Source organism: Homo sapiens, chromosome 10 (assembly GCF_000001405.40).
Source record: "Homo sapiens chromosome 10, GRCh38.p14 Primary Assembly".
NCBI lineage: Eukaryota > Metazoa > Chordata > Mammalia > Primates > Hominidae > Homo > Homo sapiens.
In genome coordinates this window covers 52,277,117-52,292,789 of record NC_000010.11, presented here as the reverse complement: position 1 = coordinate 52,292,789, position 15,673 = coordinate 52,277,117, and the positions used below count along the sequence as shown (strand labels likewise).

General features: G+C 34.8%; 1 protein-coding gene across 4 annotated transcripts in view; it reads right to left on the bottom strand.

The window, feature by feature from the left end:
• PRKG1 (protein kinase cGMP-dependent 1) overlaps window positions 1-15,673 on the bottom strand; it is a 1,307,463-nt gene that overhangs the window by 5,561 nt on the left and 1,286,229 nt on the right. For all 4 annotated transcript variants that reach the window (NM_001098512.3, XM_017016413.2, NM_006258.4 and 1 more), the window contains 5 exons: window positions 11,860-12,001; window positions 10,474-10,637; window positions 3,942-4,064; window positions 3,797-3,859; window positions 2,500-2,566 (listed from right to left, as the gene is read on the bottom strand). In NM_001098512.3, coding sequence (NP_001091982.1) covers window positions 2,500-2,566; window positions 3,797-3,859; window positions 3,942-4,064; window positions 10,474-10,637; window positions 11,860-12,001 — 559 coding nt within the window. The remainder of the gene's footprint in view (window positions 1-2,499; window positions 2,567-3,796; window positions 3,860-3,941; window positions 4,065-10,473; window positions 10,638-11,859; window positions 12,002-15,673) is intronic.

The following is a 15,673-nucleotide window of genomic DNA, read 5'->3' as shown; positions in this document are numbered from 1 at the left end:
GTTTGTCATAGATAGCTCTTATTATTTTGAGATATGTCCCATCAATACCTAATTTATTGAGAGTTTTTAGCATGAAGGGTTGTTAAATTTTGTCAGAGGCCTTTTCTGCATCTATACTACAAGGCTAGAGTAACCAAAACAGCATGGTACTGGTACCAAAACAGAGATATAGATCAATGGAACAGAACAGAGCCCTCAGAAATAACGCCGCATATCTACAACTATCTGATCTTTGACAAACCTGAGAAAAACAAGCAATGGGGAAACGATTCCCTATTTAATAAATGGTGCTGGGAAAACTGGCTAGCCATATGTAGAAAGCTGAAACTGGATCCCTTCCTTACACCTTATACAAAAATTAATTCAAGATGGATTAAAGACTTAAACGTTAGACCTAAAACCATAAAAACCCTAGAAGAAGACCTAGGCATTACCATTCAGGACATAGGCATGGGCAAGGACTTCATGTCTAAAACACCAAAAGCAATGGCAACAAAAGCCAAAATTGACAAATGGGATCTAATTAAACTAAAGAGCTCCTGCACTGCAAAAGAAACTACCATCAGAGTGAACAGGCAACCTACAAAATGGGAGAAAATTTTCGCAACCTACTCATCTGACAAAGGGCTAATATCCAGAATCTACAATGAACTCAAACAAATTTACAAGAAAAAAAACAAACAACCCCATCAAAAAGTGGGCCAAGGACATGAACCGACACTTCTCAAAAGAAGACATTTATGCAGCCAAAAAACACATGAAAAAATACTCATCATCACTGGATCACTGGCCATCAGAGAAATGCAAATCAACACAACAATGAGATACCATCTCACACCAGTTAGAATGGCGATCATTAAAAAGTCAGGAAACAACAGGTGCTGGAGAGGATGTGGAGAAATAGGAACACTTTTACACTGTTGGTGGGACTGTAAACTAGTTAAACCATTGTGGAAGTCAGTGTGGCGATTCCTCAGGGATCTAGAACTAGAAATACCATTTGACCCAGCCATCCCATTACTGGGTATATACCCAAATGACTATAAATCATGCTGCTATAAAGACACATGCACACGTATGTTTATTGCGGCACTATTCACAATAGCAAAGACTTGGAACTAACCCAAATGTCCAAGAATGATAGACTGGATTAAGAAAATGTGGCACGTATACACCATGGAATACTATGCAGCCATAAAAATGATGAGTTCATGTCCTTTGTAGGGACGTGGATGAAATTGGAAATCATTTCTCAGTAAACTATCGCAAGAACAAAAAACCAAACACCGCATATTCTCACTCATAGGTGGGAACTGAACAATGAGAACACATGAACACAGGAAGGGGACCATCACACTCTGGGGACTGTTGTGGGGTGGGGGGAGGGGGGAGGGATAGCTTTAGGAGATACACCTAATGCTAAATGACAAGTTAATGGGTGCAGCACACCAGCATGGCACATGTATACATATGTAACTAACCTGCACATTGTGCACATGTACCCTAAAACTTAAAGTATAATAATAATAAAAAAATAAAAAAATAAAAAAATAAAAGAGTGATCACGTAGGCCCAGCGCGGTGCTCACGTCTGTAATCCCAACCCTTGGGAGGCCGAGGTGGGAGGATCACTTGAGGTCAGGAATTCAAGACCAGCCTGGCCAACATGGTGAAACTGTGTCTCTACTAAAAATACCAAAATTAGCTGGGAGTGGTGGCACTTGCCTACAATCCCAGCTACTCAGGAGACTGAGGCAGGAGAATTGCTTGAACCTGGGATGCAGGGGTTGCAGTAAGCCGAGATCACGCCACTGCATTCCAGCCTGGGTGACAGATTAAGACTCCATCTCAAAAAAAAAATTAAAAAAAAAAAAAAAAAAGAGTGATCATGTAAAGACTCTTTGAAAAAGTGTTATTTTATTTCTTTTTTTAGAGACAGGGTCTTTCCACTCTGTCACCCAAGCTGAAGTATAGTGGTACAATCACAGCTCACTGTAAGCTCAAATTCCTGGGCTCAAGTGATCCTCCTGCTCCAGACTTTTGAGTAGTTAGGACTATAGGTGCACATCAGCACACCTGGCTAGTATTTTCTTTTCTTTTTTTGTAGAGACAGAGTCTCACTATGTTGTCCAGGCTGGCTGGTCTTGAACTCTTGAACTCCTGGCCTCAAGTGATCCTCTCACCTATATATTTTTGTCTGCATTTCTATATTTTGAACATTTCCCATGCTAAAAATTAACTTATGTTCATAAATGAGGGAAACTTGAATCAAATGAATAGTTAAAAAAGAGAAGAGTAAAACACATTTACAGTGACTATCCCCAAATTTATCTGCTTTCAAGTTTGGATTTTAGAATATGTCATTATTTTAATGTGACATTTTTCCTAGAGTTTGTTTAACTTAATCATAGGATTAAACTTTAAAAATAACAGATCATTGTTGACTGACATAAACACCATCAATTATGTCACACAATTATAAGCTGGAAAGTCTACTTACACTTGGTATTATAGGAGGTGTCAAGGTACCTTTTCTTAAGCCTTCCCAGTTAAAGCCCTCAAACCATCTAGAAAAGGAAAAAACGTTGATAAAAACATTTTGTGTCAGCTAAAAGCTTCTCATTGCAGTGTATACAATGTCCATGGCTAATGGGAAGCAGTTAGGCAAACATTTTCATGTGACAAAAATGTTTTCTATTTAATTGCATATGTTTTCCTAATAGTTTATTTTATGAAATACATATTTTTAAAAGTATAACTGTCAAATTTTAAACACCAATTAACATGCAACACTTATTCCTTGTAATTCAGTCATAATGTCTCTATGACCTTGTTCCTACACTATAATTAAAATTTAATACATGTCATAATGTGTCTGGCCCTGTGCCTTACAGGATATTTTATTTTAAGGAGGTAGAACCAGGGCATGAAAAGTCAGGATAGAAAATTAACTTTCCATTTTTGCCACTGATTCAGTGCACAGTGTCAGCTAATTAACCTTTTCACATCATTGTCATAGTCTCTACATGTCCCATTTTCTTCTTTTTTTCCCTTTTTTAATGAAGAATAAAGATATTTTGTGTACAGTTTTTCTGTGAAAATAAGAACCAAAAAAGACTAAAGTTTTTGCTTGTTTGTTTTCTTTTGTCTTTGAAGGGTTTCAGCATTAGCAAATGCTTACAACAAATTCTTAGCAGGCTTTTCAGATATTCAGAGATATTTTAGTAAACATGTTTCTTTGATAAGGATGTGAATTTCCTGTCAGTGTTACACAAACAAATAGAGAAAACCCAATTAGTTTAGCTTTAGAACATCCAATCAACATAGGGAAGGTCTGATATTTAAGATGTTGCTATTGTTTAAAAAACACTGTATTCTGTACTTATGTTTTTCTCCTGTTATAACATCTAATTAGGAAATGCTTGGAAAAATATATTTTGTCTTTAGGAAATCAGGTAAGATACAGTAGGGGACTTTTATTTGTAATTCTGTGGTAGAGAATAGAATCCCCAAATTTAAAATACACATTTCCCCTTTGTGCCAGAGGGGAAAAAAATGCTAGTTGGTATGAGTTGTAAGAAACTGAGTTCAGCTTCTTATGTTACAGGGTTGTCAGATAAATATAAATAAGGTTTCATAATCACAACTAGAAAGGCATTTAAAAGCCTTACTAGTTTATACGCTGTCTTTGGATGTTCCTATAGGCTAATTATACTAGTTTTACACCAATAACTTAAAAAGCAACACCCTGGGGAAATGATGTCACGTGTTCAGAACTCTGCAGAAAGAACACTTACTTGTGCTTTTGAATGTCTTTTACTCCATTTTTCAAATTCCCTAATCTTTCTGATGGATTGTCCCTAAAAATAAAATAATGGTTTTATTAAATCTAATTTTTTCACATTATGATGTTTTCAAAAATAATGTGGTTGAAATACTTACCTGCATAGTTTTTTAATTAAATTAGCAGCATTTTTGGCAATCTTCTTTGGAAATTCTATCATGTCAATCCCCCTCAATATGATGTTATAGGTTTTCATAGGATCTGGGCCTGAGAAAGGTGGGCTGCAAGAATGAGAGACACGACAAGAGATATTACTTTTATTTTCTACATGAGAACACTTGAATTGCTATAAACTCCACAGATGACATCAATTCATATTTGGGGGCTTAGATTAATAGTGACAATGGAATGAAAATAGATTAATAGCAAAACAGTGTGGAAGCCCTTCCAAGTAAATCACTTAGTGAAACCAGAAATGGGTCAAGTTTATCTGCTCTTCTCTTGCTTTCTTTTAAGTGCTGGAGTCTAAGCCCTCATGCTGTCCTTGGTCATTCAAGATGCTTCTTCTACTCTCTGACCTTTTCCACACTTACTGACTCATTGATTATACTTGAGATGAAGTCCAAAATCATTAGGAGGGGCCGCAGGAACACCAACGATACTACCCCACCTCATGCCATTACCACCCTCACTCACTGGGATCCAGAAACAATAGCCTTCTCTCTGTTCCACTGAAATGCCGAGCACTTTCCTACCTCATGGTGTTACTTATTTGGTCTGGAAGGTTCTTCCCATACTTATCTGGCCAATGCCTCACTTTATCAAGTTTCAGTATAAGTGTTATGCTGTTTCCTCCAAAAGGCCTACTCTGGTCAACCTATTACAACCAATTACATAACCTATATCAACCCACGTAACCTAGCAATCTAATTTCATGCTCTAGTTTAAAGTTTAATCTAAATTAGAGTCCCTGTTACACTTTTATAGCACCCTTATGCCACTTATTGTACTTTGTAATTATCTTTTCATTTGTGTGATTGTTTTATGTCTGTCTTCCCTTCCAGAAGAGTTTGTTTTCTGCTGGTATTCCCAGAGTTGAGTAGAGTTTGCAGCATGTACATACTAAGGAGGCAATAAATATTTATTGCTCTAATGTTTCTATAGAATAGTACTCCTCCTATCCTTTTCTCTCTGCTCAGAGGACCTCATTAGATAATTTAACACTAGGCATCCTCTTTGCTAGCAAGGATGTAATACCCCAGCCCTCATGAGCCAGATCTGTTGATTTTTTTTTTTTTTTTTTTTTTTAACTGATCCATCCTTGAAGTGTGGTTTGTGGCAGCTTCAGTGAGTACAAAGATGACTAAAGTCAGGTCTTTCCTTCAAATTTCTCACAATTCAGAGGGGAGATGATGATACACCTTGACGAATGATTTCTTTGGAAATTAATTACTCTCTTTAATACAGGTTTTGTGTGTCTTTGGGGAAGAAATCTGAATTATTATTTTTTTTGCCTTTCATGTTTATTAAGAGCAGTTCAAACTATTTCTTTTTTATCAAGCAGGCTAATGAGTAATTTAAAGTAAGGAGTAGTAGATTTGCCTGTTAAGGGCTGTGATGGATTCTGCTTTGATTTTCTGTGAAAAATGCTTTCTATTTACTTTAATATGTCATTAGCTAGTAATTGCCTATCAATTTTAAATCACTTGAAAAATGTATAAACATGCAAATCTATTTAGTATTCTCTTAGAATTTAAAATTTTATCTTTAGTTGATTCTATGATTGAATATTCTTTTTAATCTCTTAACATGCCAGTTTTCATTTTTTACTTTAAAAAATGAGGAGGAGCCACATCTTGGCAATGATTTCTAATTTATAGTTTTGCTTTTATATTTATTTTGCTTTTATATTTAGTTGCTTATCTTAGAAAACTAAAATCAATTATTAAATATAGTATTTGTGGTTTTTATGTGATGCATGTTAGTCTAATATTCATTCAATATATAAAACAAAATTATTTAGAAGAAAGTCATCCAAAACCTCAAAATATTCAGAATGCTCTACATTTGATGAACATAATTTCATAGACTTCTATATGTAGATTGTAGACACACAGGATTATATTATGCATATTTTTAAATTTAGAAGTATTCGATTTAATTTTACTTTAGCTAAACTGAGGAGTAAAATGGAGAGAAATGCTAAATTTCAGATATGTGTGCTTCTTAACCAATATTAATTCCTAAAATATTTCTCTAAAATTAAAAAAAAAATCAAACTGAATTTAGAGATTTCTCTTCTGTAATGACATGTTTTAACTATAAAATATATGTAAGATTACTAATTATTAATGATGAGAAATAAGTATACCTATAGTTATACCTGCTTTACCTCCCACCTTAATTTTTGTTGGTTTTAGTGTTATTTTAAGATTGCCAAAGACTACAATATTTACATTCTGTTCAATTACCCAAATTTAAATTATTTGATCTAAGTTCTAATTAATTAGACCCAAAGCTCATCAATCTTTTTACTAGTTTTTCTATTCCTGAATGCTTTATTTTGATTCATCTTTTTGTGGGCTTGATTGAATAGTAGTGTTTTTGAGAAAGGCCTGGGGTCCACACTTTATATGTCGTGTTTGAATTTGAAGAAGAACTTAACTCAGTATAAATTACTTGGGTTATACCTTCTCTGACCCTCAGAACTACGTAGTTCTTGATATACTATCTTTTGGCATTAAAGATGCTGTAGAGAAGGTTGAGGCCAGCTGGAACTTTAACTGTCTTCACTCCCAATACCACACATGCCGTGTTTTTATGGCTTTGATGCCAATAAGACTATTCCTTATTAATGAATTTAATTCATTAATTCACCACATGGAAATACTGTGGTGATATTATTCTGAATCAGTTTCTCCATGGTCACTGCAGATCAAAAGGATATACTGAGTCAATTCTTTATGCCATGGATTTTTATTATGTAATTAAAGATGTTTTTTCTCCTGTTTGTAATATTATATTCATACACATAATTGATGTGTTTTCTATTTCCTTTGACTAATAGATTCTCTTTCTGAAATCATATCTATGTATTTTTTCTTTTTTCATTATATTTTCCAAGCCTGTCTACTATCTCCCTTGCTGCATTTTTAATTGTTACTATTTTATTTTCTCTTACTTACAGCATGACTTTCAGTTCTGTAATGGTCCTGAGCTCTGCTAGTTACTTGTCTTCTCATTTATGAACACTTGCAAATATCTTAGAGGTTACTTTTTAGGGAGATCATGCTTTTGATAGCCTCAAAGAAATTATAGATAAGAGTTTATCTAAACACTTCCTCCTATATTTCCTTGATTCATTTTTCTTGTGTGTTCTTTAGCTTTCTTTTACTTTTGCATCTTTCAGCTGACATAAATGGAAAACATCAGCTCAAACTGATTAAAATAAGAAAAACATTGAACTCACAAAAGCACTTTCCAGAGGTAGGGCAAATTCTAGACTGGTAGGATCAGTGGTTCCAGCTTTTCATTCTGCCATAGTCACTATTAGTTTCATCATGGCTGTTTCCCCTCATAGTTATAGGAAGTCTACCAGTGGAAATAAGGACTTATATTCATTCAGTAATTATTTACTGAGTAGCTACTGTAGGAAAAAAGAATTCTCCTCCAATAATGTATTTTAAAATTATTCCTCTAATTTATGTACCCAGTCCAATAAATGCCAATCACTAGAGGAATGCCATGTGACTGGAATAGACGAGCTGAATCAAAACCTAAAACTGGAGATAAATTCATCTTTTCCTAAGTTGGTGGGGGAGATGGATCCTTGAGCAAAATCAGTAAGAAAGGAGTTGGTGTGTATGCATGGAAGGGGGCTGGGGTTGTAAGAGGGGCAGGGACTGGCTTCCCTGGGACCCTTTCTGACCATTACTTATCCTTAGATTGGGCCGCCTACCATGAAGAATAGAACAGGGAAAGTTGGAGGGAAGGAAGCAATGAGAAATTCACCAGCCTTCACTACTGTTTGTTGCCTTATAACCAGATCATTTATTTCCTTTGCCCTCAATTTAAAACATTCAGGGAGGTCATGTGGCTCATACAAAGCCCCACCACATTCTCTGAAATCATTAATCACTGCCTCTCTCCCCCTTTTCACTCCCTGCTTCACTGACCAACATTATAAGCCTTAAAAGGCAGAATTGGTACATTTGTATGAATCTTCCTTCACCTCAGTTCCTCTTTCATTCTGTAGTGCTTAATTAGGTCTCTGCATGAACAGTCTTTGCTTTTTCAAGGTCCAGCCAGTCCTCTAAATGTCATTATTACTATCGAAGATCATTAGATATGACATTCAGGACCAAAATACTTTGGAGTCATGCTTGTGGTCCAAGCATCATTCCTAGTCACATGCCATACTTCATAGTGTTTGGCAGGTGTGTTTTGTGGAACTTTATTTGTAACTAAAGATCATCCTACTTGTTTTATTCTTGCCTTCTCCCACCCCCACCCCTGGCCACCGTCTCTTACCACCACCATCATCTCTTTGGGTAGAAAAGGAAAAGTAAAGATTTTTTTAATGCTGTTGTCTTTGACCAAAATTCTTTCTGTCTTGTTATTTCTTGAAATGAATATTAAGTTTAGGTATGTTTAATCATAATGTTTCGATATATATATTTATGGTAAAAAAATTAAGTTTGGTTTTGAAAATACAACATAAATTGTGACTTATAGTGCTTTATTTTTATTGCTGCTCTGCTATTCTGTAATTTCTATGTCCTTGAGGTTATTTAGAAAAATGCTTTTTAAATTTTCAAGTATTTAGACTTTTTATTTTAAATCTTTGTTATTAATTCCAAGTTTTATTATATTCCAGTCAGATATTGTAACCTGTGCAATTTCTACTTTAAAGGATTAAAGGTTTTTCTGTTATTAATTATTTCTTACAGTTTAGTATATGCCAGTTTTTAAGATTAAGGTTTTAATCATTTTCACCTTATTACTTAATGAATAAACAATGATTGTAGAGAAATGTCTAAACATTTAAGGAGAAATATAAGTTGTCATGTTTAATATTTTAGTCTAGTTATTATAGGTGAATATTTTACTTCCTCAAAAATAGTTAATATTTAGTTTTCTTCTATTTATTATATAATTGGTTCTTATAGCAATTCTAAGCACACTAGAAAGATTACCTTTTTATCTATCTCTCTGCCTATTTACCTATCTATCCATCCACACACATATGTTAAATTTAACCTTCTACTTTGTCCAAATTTTTCATATCTTTACAGGTCTACTTAATTGGTCATACTTTTAAAATAATTTACCTCCATCCACAAGATCAAAATTGAACAATCCACACTGAACAAAATTGGATTATGTCACACATAATTTATTTGAAGTCAATAGAGAAACTTTATGGGTAATAATGTAAAATACCCATAAATAAAAATAAAATCAAAACACAACTATTTCTGGCAATGACTGTCGTTGTTGTAGTAGTAGCAGCTGCTAACATTCATGGAATGCTTACTATGTGCGAAACACTCTTCTAAGTGTTTCATGTATGCACTGAATCCTCACAGAGTACCCTGTGCTCAAAGTCCTCAGTCTTCCTCTCATGTTCACTGTAGTGACTAAGTCCTCTTAAGTAATTCTTCACATCCTGCCTCACAATTACTCTTTTTTTCCATTGCCCTTGCCCTACTCTAGGCTCTCAGTGTCCTAGAACTAAATTACTGCAACAATCTTCAAACTAGCTTCCTATTCCTCTTCCAATTTGCTTATTACTGCCAACTTGTTTTTCCTTAAATACCACAACACACATCACTCAACCTTTGTCAGAAAATCTCAATGATTCCCTCTGTAGATGGAGTCCAAACACTCAAGTGCAGCAATCATGATCGTCAAAAGATGACTGTTCCTGTTTTTTTTACATGAACCTTCTCCATGTCTGTGACGATTATTGCCTTTCTCTTTAAGCCATGCCTATTTGCCTGGAATACCCTTTTCTTGCTCTCTATATCTAAGTCCTACTCTTCATTCAAGACACAGCTGCCTTATATTCATTCTTCAAAAGCCTCTTTACGAACCCATCCCTGTCCTGAAATCTGTAGGTCATAACACCCCTGTCACTCACTGTTTTAGCACATGTCATGGTAGTGTATTTGTTGTTCTTTTAATATGGGTCCTTGAGGATCTTAAAGTTTGTTTTATACCTTGTGGTGTCCCTAGTGCCTATTTGAGTTGATGATAATAACATTACAGGAAAGATGTACAAAGCAGTCACCTTTCATTTAGATATAACAGTTGCTAACAGGTCCTCTTACTTCTATAGAAAATTGACCCTAGATATTTTTATATGATTATCATCTCCCCTGTTTCATTGCTGGCTAAATGACTGGGCTAAGATAGCTCACAGAAGGACATTATATCCTTCCACATTCACATATGTAAAAAAGAAGTAGCAATAATGAGACCAAAAGTTAGTGTTCAGGTGGTTGCCCTAGCCTGGACTATTTTATACCTTACATTATGAATTCCTGGTCATCTGTATAACTAATTAAACTGTGGTACCAAGATATGGTGAAAAGTACTTTAAGATGGTCTAATCCAAGTGACAAAAGCAGGAGTGTGTAGCTGCATGCTGGTCTATTTTTATCAGCAGTTCCCTATCAATATCCATACCTGCCAGTCAGGAGTTCATACATTAGGATTCCCAGTGACCAGTAGTCGGCTGAAATGTCATGGCCTTTGTTCAGGATGATCTCTGGGGCTACATACTCTGGAGTCCCACAAAAAGTCCATGTTTTCTTTCCAAATCCTATTTTCTTTGCAAAGCCAAAATCAACCTTACAAAGAGAGAAAAACAAGATACTTAAGCTCCTTATGATTAAGTTTTAAAGTAATAAGTTATTTTGAAGCACACTGATGATGATAATAATTTAAAAACATGTATGTTTTTATAGTTCTGTCTTCCAAAAAGAATAGTCTATATTGCAAAGACAGTCTCCCTGATGCACCTCAGTTTTAATGGCAAAAGTTGACACCTGAGTATAGCATAAAATTCACATCATTAAAAATAAAGGTAAATCTTCCTTTCCGAATATAGTTTTCATTTTTTCTTCTTTTATGCTAATGGAGGTTGGAGTGTAAACACAGAATCTCTTCTGTACCTAAAAATTGTTAACGACCAGTTGGGCCTACTTAACATCTTTCCCAGAATATACATGATTTCTGCTGGATTTAATGAAGGCGACAATTCATTTAGTATTAATTATTTGAAAAGCTATTTTATGTTTGCAGGAAGTGAGTAAGATAGTTTTGGGACCAATGACTCTGCCCTTAGTAAGCATAAACAGAAATAAAATTATAATGTATTCTTCATTTTTCTGGAACTCTTTTGAAGGAAGAGTGTCGACTGCAGAAAATATATTTTTTCTAAAACGATTTGGTTGAAACTACAAATAAAAAACTGCCACTGATTTGATTTCTCTAAAAACCACATGCTGAATAACAATTCTGAAAACTTTAAAAATGGAATCAAGCTGTTAACAGATCCAACAAAAGTTGTGCATTTGTAAATAAAAGAACTTCTCTTCTATGGTAAATCTTTACAGCTTTTGACCATTATTATTATTACTATTACATAACCTGGCTAGCATTGCCTGTAAAGCACATTTTTTTCCATTAGCATTATTCTTAAATCTAAAATATTAAAATGATTTATGGTTTTCCATAATATAAAAACCCATTGCTTATGAATGGCAAAAAGCTGACTGGAGAAAAGGACTTCTGGGCATGTAAACACATGCCAGCAAGTGTGTTTTCTCATGCTTATAAAAGCATCTTTTGCCAGAGTATTGTTAATTCAAACTTAGCCAACTTAATTTTTCATAACTGATGCATCATTTGAAAGAACATTCAGTTGAAAAGTGTAATGCTAAAATCTGCTTTTAAGAAAGTTACAACATTGAAAAGGAAAACTCAGATTTCATATTAGCAAATGAACACAGTTTTATAAACAAATATTTTTAATCTGCAGGGCAGAAAGCACGTATGAAATGCACTGACCAGTTTGGCATAACCTCGGTGATCTAGGATGAGATTTTCTGGCTTGAGGTCCCTGTAAATGATTCCTTTGGAATGCAGATAGGCAAAAGCTTCTACCACACATGCTGTGTAAAATCTGGTTGTAGAATCTTCAAACGAACCTCTGAGGTGCAGAAATGGAATGAAAATTGTATAAAAAATTAATTTCTGTAATATGGCTTTATTTTTTTTTTCTCATTTCACTATATTCCTTTGCCAAAATTTAACCCAGAGATCACTGTCCTGCTAGCTAAATGTTACATGATTGCCATTACATTGGGTTTTCTGAAGCATTCAAGGATCAAGTTAAGGAATTCTCTGTCTTTATGAATGGAATAGTTAAATCTCACTTACTGAAAGGGCTGAAAGAATAGTTCAACACAACACATTTCATGTACTTAGTGTCTTCCTCTCAACAGCCCACTACAATCGAAAAAGGCACAGACTTACAGAAGTAGGCAGGAGAGAAAAATAATCCTATTTTAGAGCTTGCCTACCAAGCATTTGTTTTTTAAAGGAGAAGTTTATGGGTTTATTCATATTTATTCTTAGAGGGCTTGTTTTTTAATCTTTCTAAATAATGCAGATATGGTTCATGAGAGTCTGAATAAAAGCAACTGTTTTCAAAGAACCACTCCGGAAATAAGTTATAATGCTACTGATGCAATCATAATGCAAGCTAAGTACTCTTCTGTTTTTGAAACTTCTGCATCCAAAACAAACAATATCTATTTCCTATACTACTGAATTCTTATTAAGGGGAAAAGATGGACTAAAAGACAATTACAAAGAAAAAAGTAACTAGAAGGGAATGTTTATTAGTAATCTTGATTATTATGTTTAGCAAGAAGGCTCTCTCTGTCTCATATATATGATATATGGGCATATATATGTTGATTGATTGATTGAATGAAATAATTTAGAAAAAACCTTGGCATCTAAGGTTAAACCCTTTGTTCTAGGGCAGAACGTCTTAACTTTAACTATTTTTCTTTTTTTTTTTCATGGTACTTCTTAAAGAGATAAACCATGTACTTTTTTTTTCTTTCCCGAGTAGTAAGCACAATTTAATAATTTCATTTCATAATTCAAAAATATTAGTGTGAACATCAGCGCCTGAGGTGGTTGAGATATAACATGAGTGACAAGCACACAAGTGATTTTATTAATAGACAGTGTACAACAAATGATAGCTTCAGAGCTTGCTTTCATGAGTCTCTGATGCCTGTTTGCATTTTGGTGACACTTATTTTTTTTTCAAAATTGTGGAGTAAAGTTTAACAAACTGGGCAGTGGAATATGGTTACATTTTTACAAAATTCATAAGTGAATCAAGGCTAAAGCAGCCACTTTTCAGGCTTTCAGAAATAGGTAGTGTCTTCCAGAAAGAGAATGTCTTCATTTCAGCTACTAATATCACTTGAGTTTTCACTGAAATAACCAGCTTTTCCTAAGAAAAATATCATTCTTCTGAAACATAATTAATTATAGGCATAATGATATCTATTCCTCTAGATTCTAGAATCTTAACTATAATTACCATGACTCCTGAATCTCCCTTGAATAATATCTGAATGGAACAATTGTGAATTTATGAGCACAAGAGAAAGTTTGAGAACTGCATCCATATGAGGAAACAAATGATATACTTCATGCTACAATTTTCCTCTGACTTGGAGATATCTTTGGCAGAGTTAAAATTTTATAATTGTATGTAGTTCCAAAGGGATTACAGTATTGCCTTGAAGGTCCTTTCTTCTTCGCCCTTAATTAAGTATGTTTACCTGTCAAGAGTAGCATGTTTCTTTCATTTGAAGAGATTATTTACCTTAAAGAGTAAGCATCTGTGTATATATAATTAATATATAGCTTTAGCTACACTGCTATCTATGAATTAAATCCCTTCTCAATGGAGAGCATTGCAAAGCAAAACAAAACAAAATGAAAGAGTAAAGGGAATGGTCTTATTTTATTTCAAACTATATATCTTGTTCTTTTTTTTTTTTTTTTGAGATGGAGTCTCACTCTGTCACCCAGGCTGGAGTGCAGTGGTGCAATCTCGGTTCACTGCAACCTCAGCCTCCTGGGTTCAAGTGATCCTCCTGCCTCAGCCTCCCGAGTAGCTGGGACTACAGGCACGCACCACCATGCCCATGTAATTTTTTTAAGTTTAGTAGAGATGGGGGTTCGACCTCCTGACCTCATGATCCACCTGCCTTGGCCTCCCAAAGTGCTAGGATTACAGGCGTGAGCCACCATGCCCAGCCAAACTCATTCTTTTTTATGGCTGCATAGTATTCCATGGTGTATATGTGCCACATTTTCTTTATCCTGTCTGTCATTGTGGGCATTTGGGTTGGGTCCAAGTCTTTGCTATTGTGAATAGTGCTGCAATAAACATACATGTGCATGTGTCTTTAAGTAGAATGATTTATAATCTTTGGGTATATACCCAGTAATGGGATTGCTGGGTCAAATGATAATTCTGGTTCTAGATCCTTGAGGAATTGTCATACTGTCCACAATGGTTGAATTAATGTACACTTCCACCAACAGTGTAAAAGCATTCCTATTTCTCCACATCCTCTCCAGCATCTGTTGTTTCCTGACTTTTAATGATCGTCATTCTAACTGGCATGAGATGGTATCTAATTATGGTTTTGATTTGCATTTCTCTAATGACCAGTGATGATGAGCATTTTTTCATGTGTCTGTTGGCTGCATAAATGTCTTCTTTTGAGAAGTGTCTGTTCATATCCTTTGCCCACTTTTTGATAGGGTTGTCTGTTTTTTTTCTTGTAAATTTGCTTAAGTTCCTTGTAGATTCTGGATATTAGCCCTTTGTCAGATGGATAGATTGCAAAAATTTTCTCCCATTCTGTAGGTTGCCTGTTTACTCATTTACATCAGGACTGTCTAATTGTGATTTGAGTGGGCCTTTTTGAAAGCTTACAAATGCTTGATTACTGTTAGTAGAAGAGGAGATTATTTCTACAGTTGTGACTCTGGGCAACATACCTCTGCTTCCTTAATAGTCAATTGGTAATGGAATCAAATGGACAAATGCATTGTTAATGTTGTAATGAGAGTAAATGCTTAGGTGAGAGATCAATTTCTCATGAAATGTCTGCAGAATATTATACTTATATTCTGAATAAGCTGGTCATTAGCAGAAAGATGGAAAAATGCTAATACAAACTCAAATTCATGGGAGGAGGCTATATGTTAGAATATGGACCCTGAAGCAAGAATCCTGGGCTCAACTCCAGACTCCATTTACTGTTTGTTCTTGAGCAATTAACTATATGTCTCTGTGTTTCTGTGTTCTCATGTGCAAAATGGGGCTAATAACAGTAACTATCTCACTGGGTTGTTGTGAAGATCCAAAGAATTAATAATGCATGTACTGAAAATAAGTGCCTGGTACACAACTTGTGCTCACTAAATGTAATAGTAGCCACTATGATTGAGCACCAGAAAACTATTTTTTAGCTACTATGTCTTAATATAGTAAAATTAACTAACATAGTATAGAATAGGGATGAAGTATTTTCAGGGTGGAGGTTGGGGGTTTGGAACACCAATCCTCTCTGTTATTTAAGTGCTTCTGACTGCCAAGGCTAACTGCCACAAATCAACTCTGAAGAATCCTTTGCTAATCTCTGTTCTTTTCACTTTCCCCATGCTTCTCACATGGGCCAAAATTACCCTTTTATTGCCTGCCAATCAAAGCTCTCCCTTTTTCACCACGAAGCAAACAGACCACAAATTGTACATCTTAGGGTCCTCAGTTCTT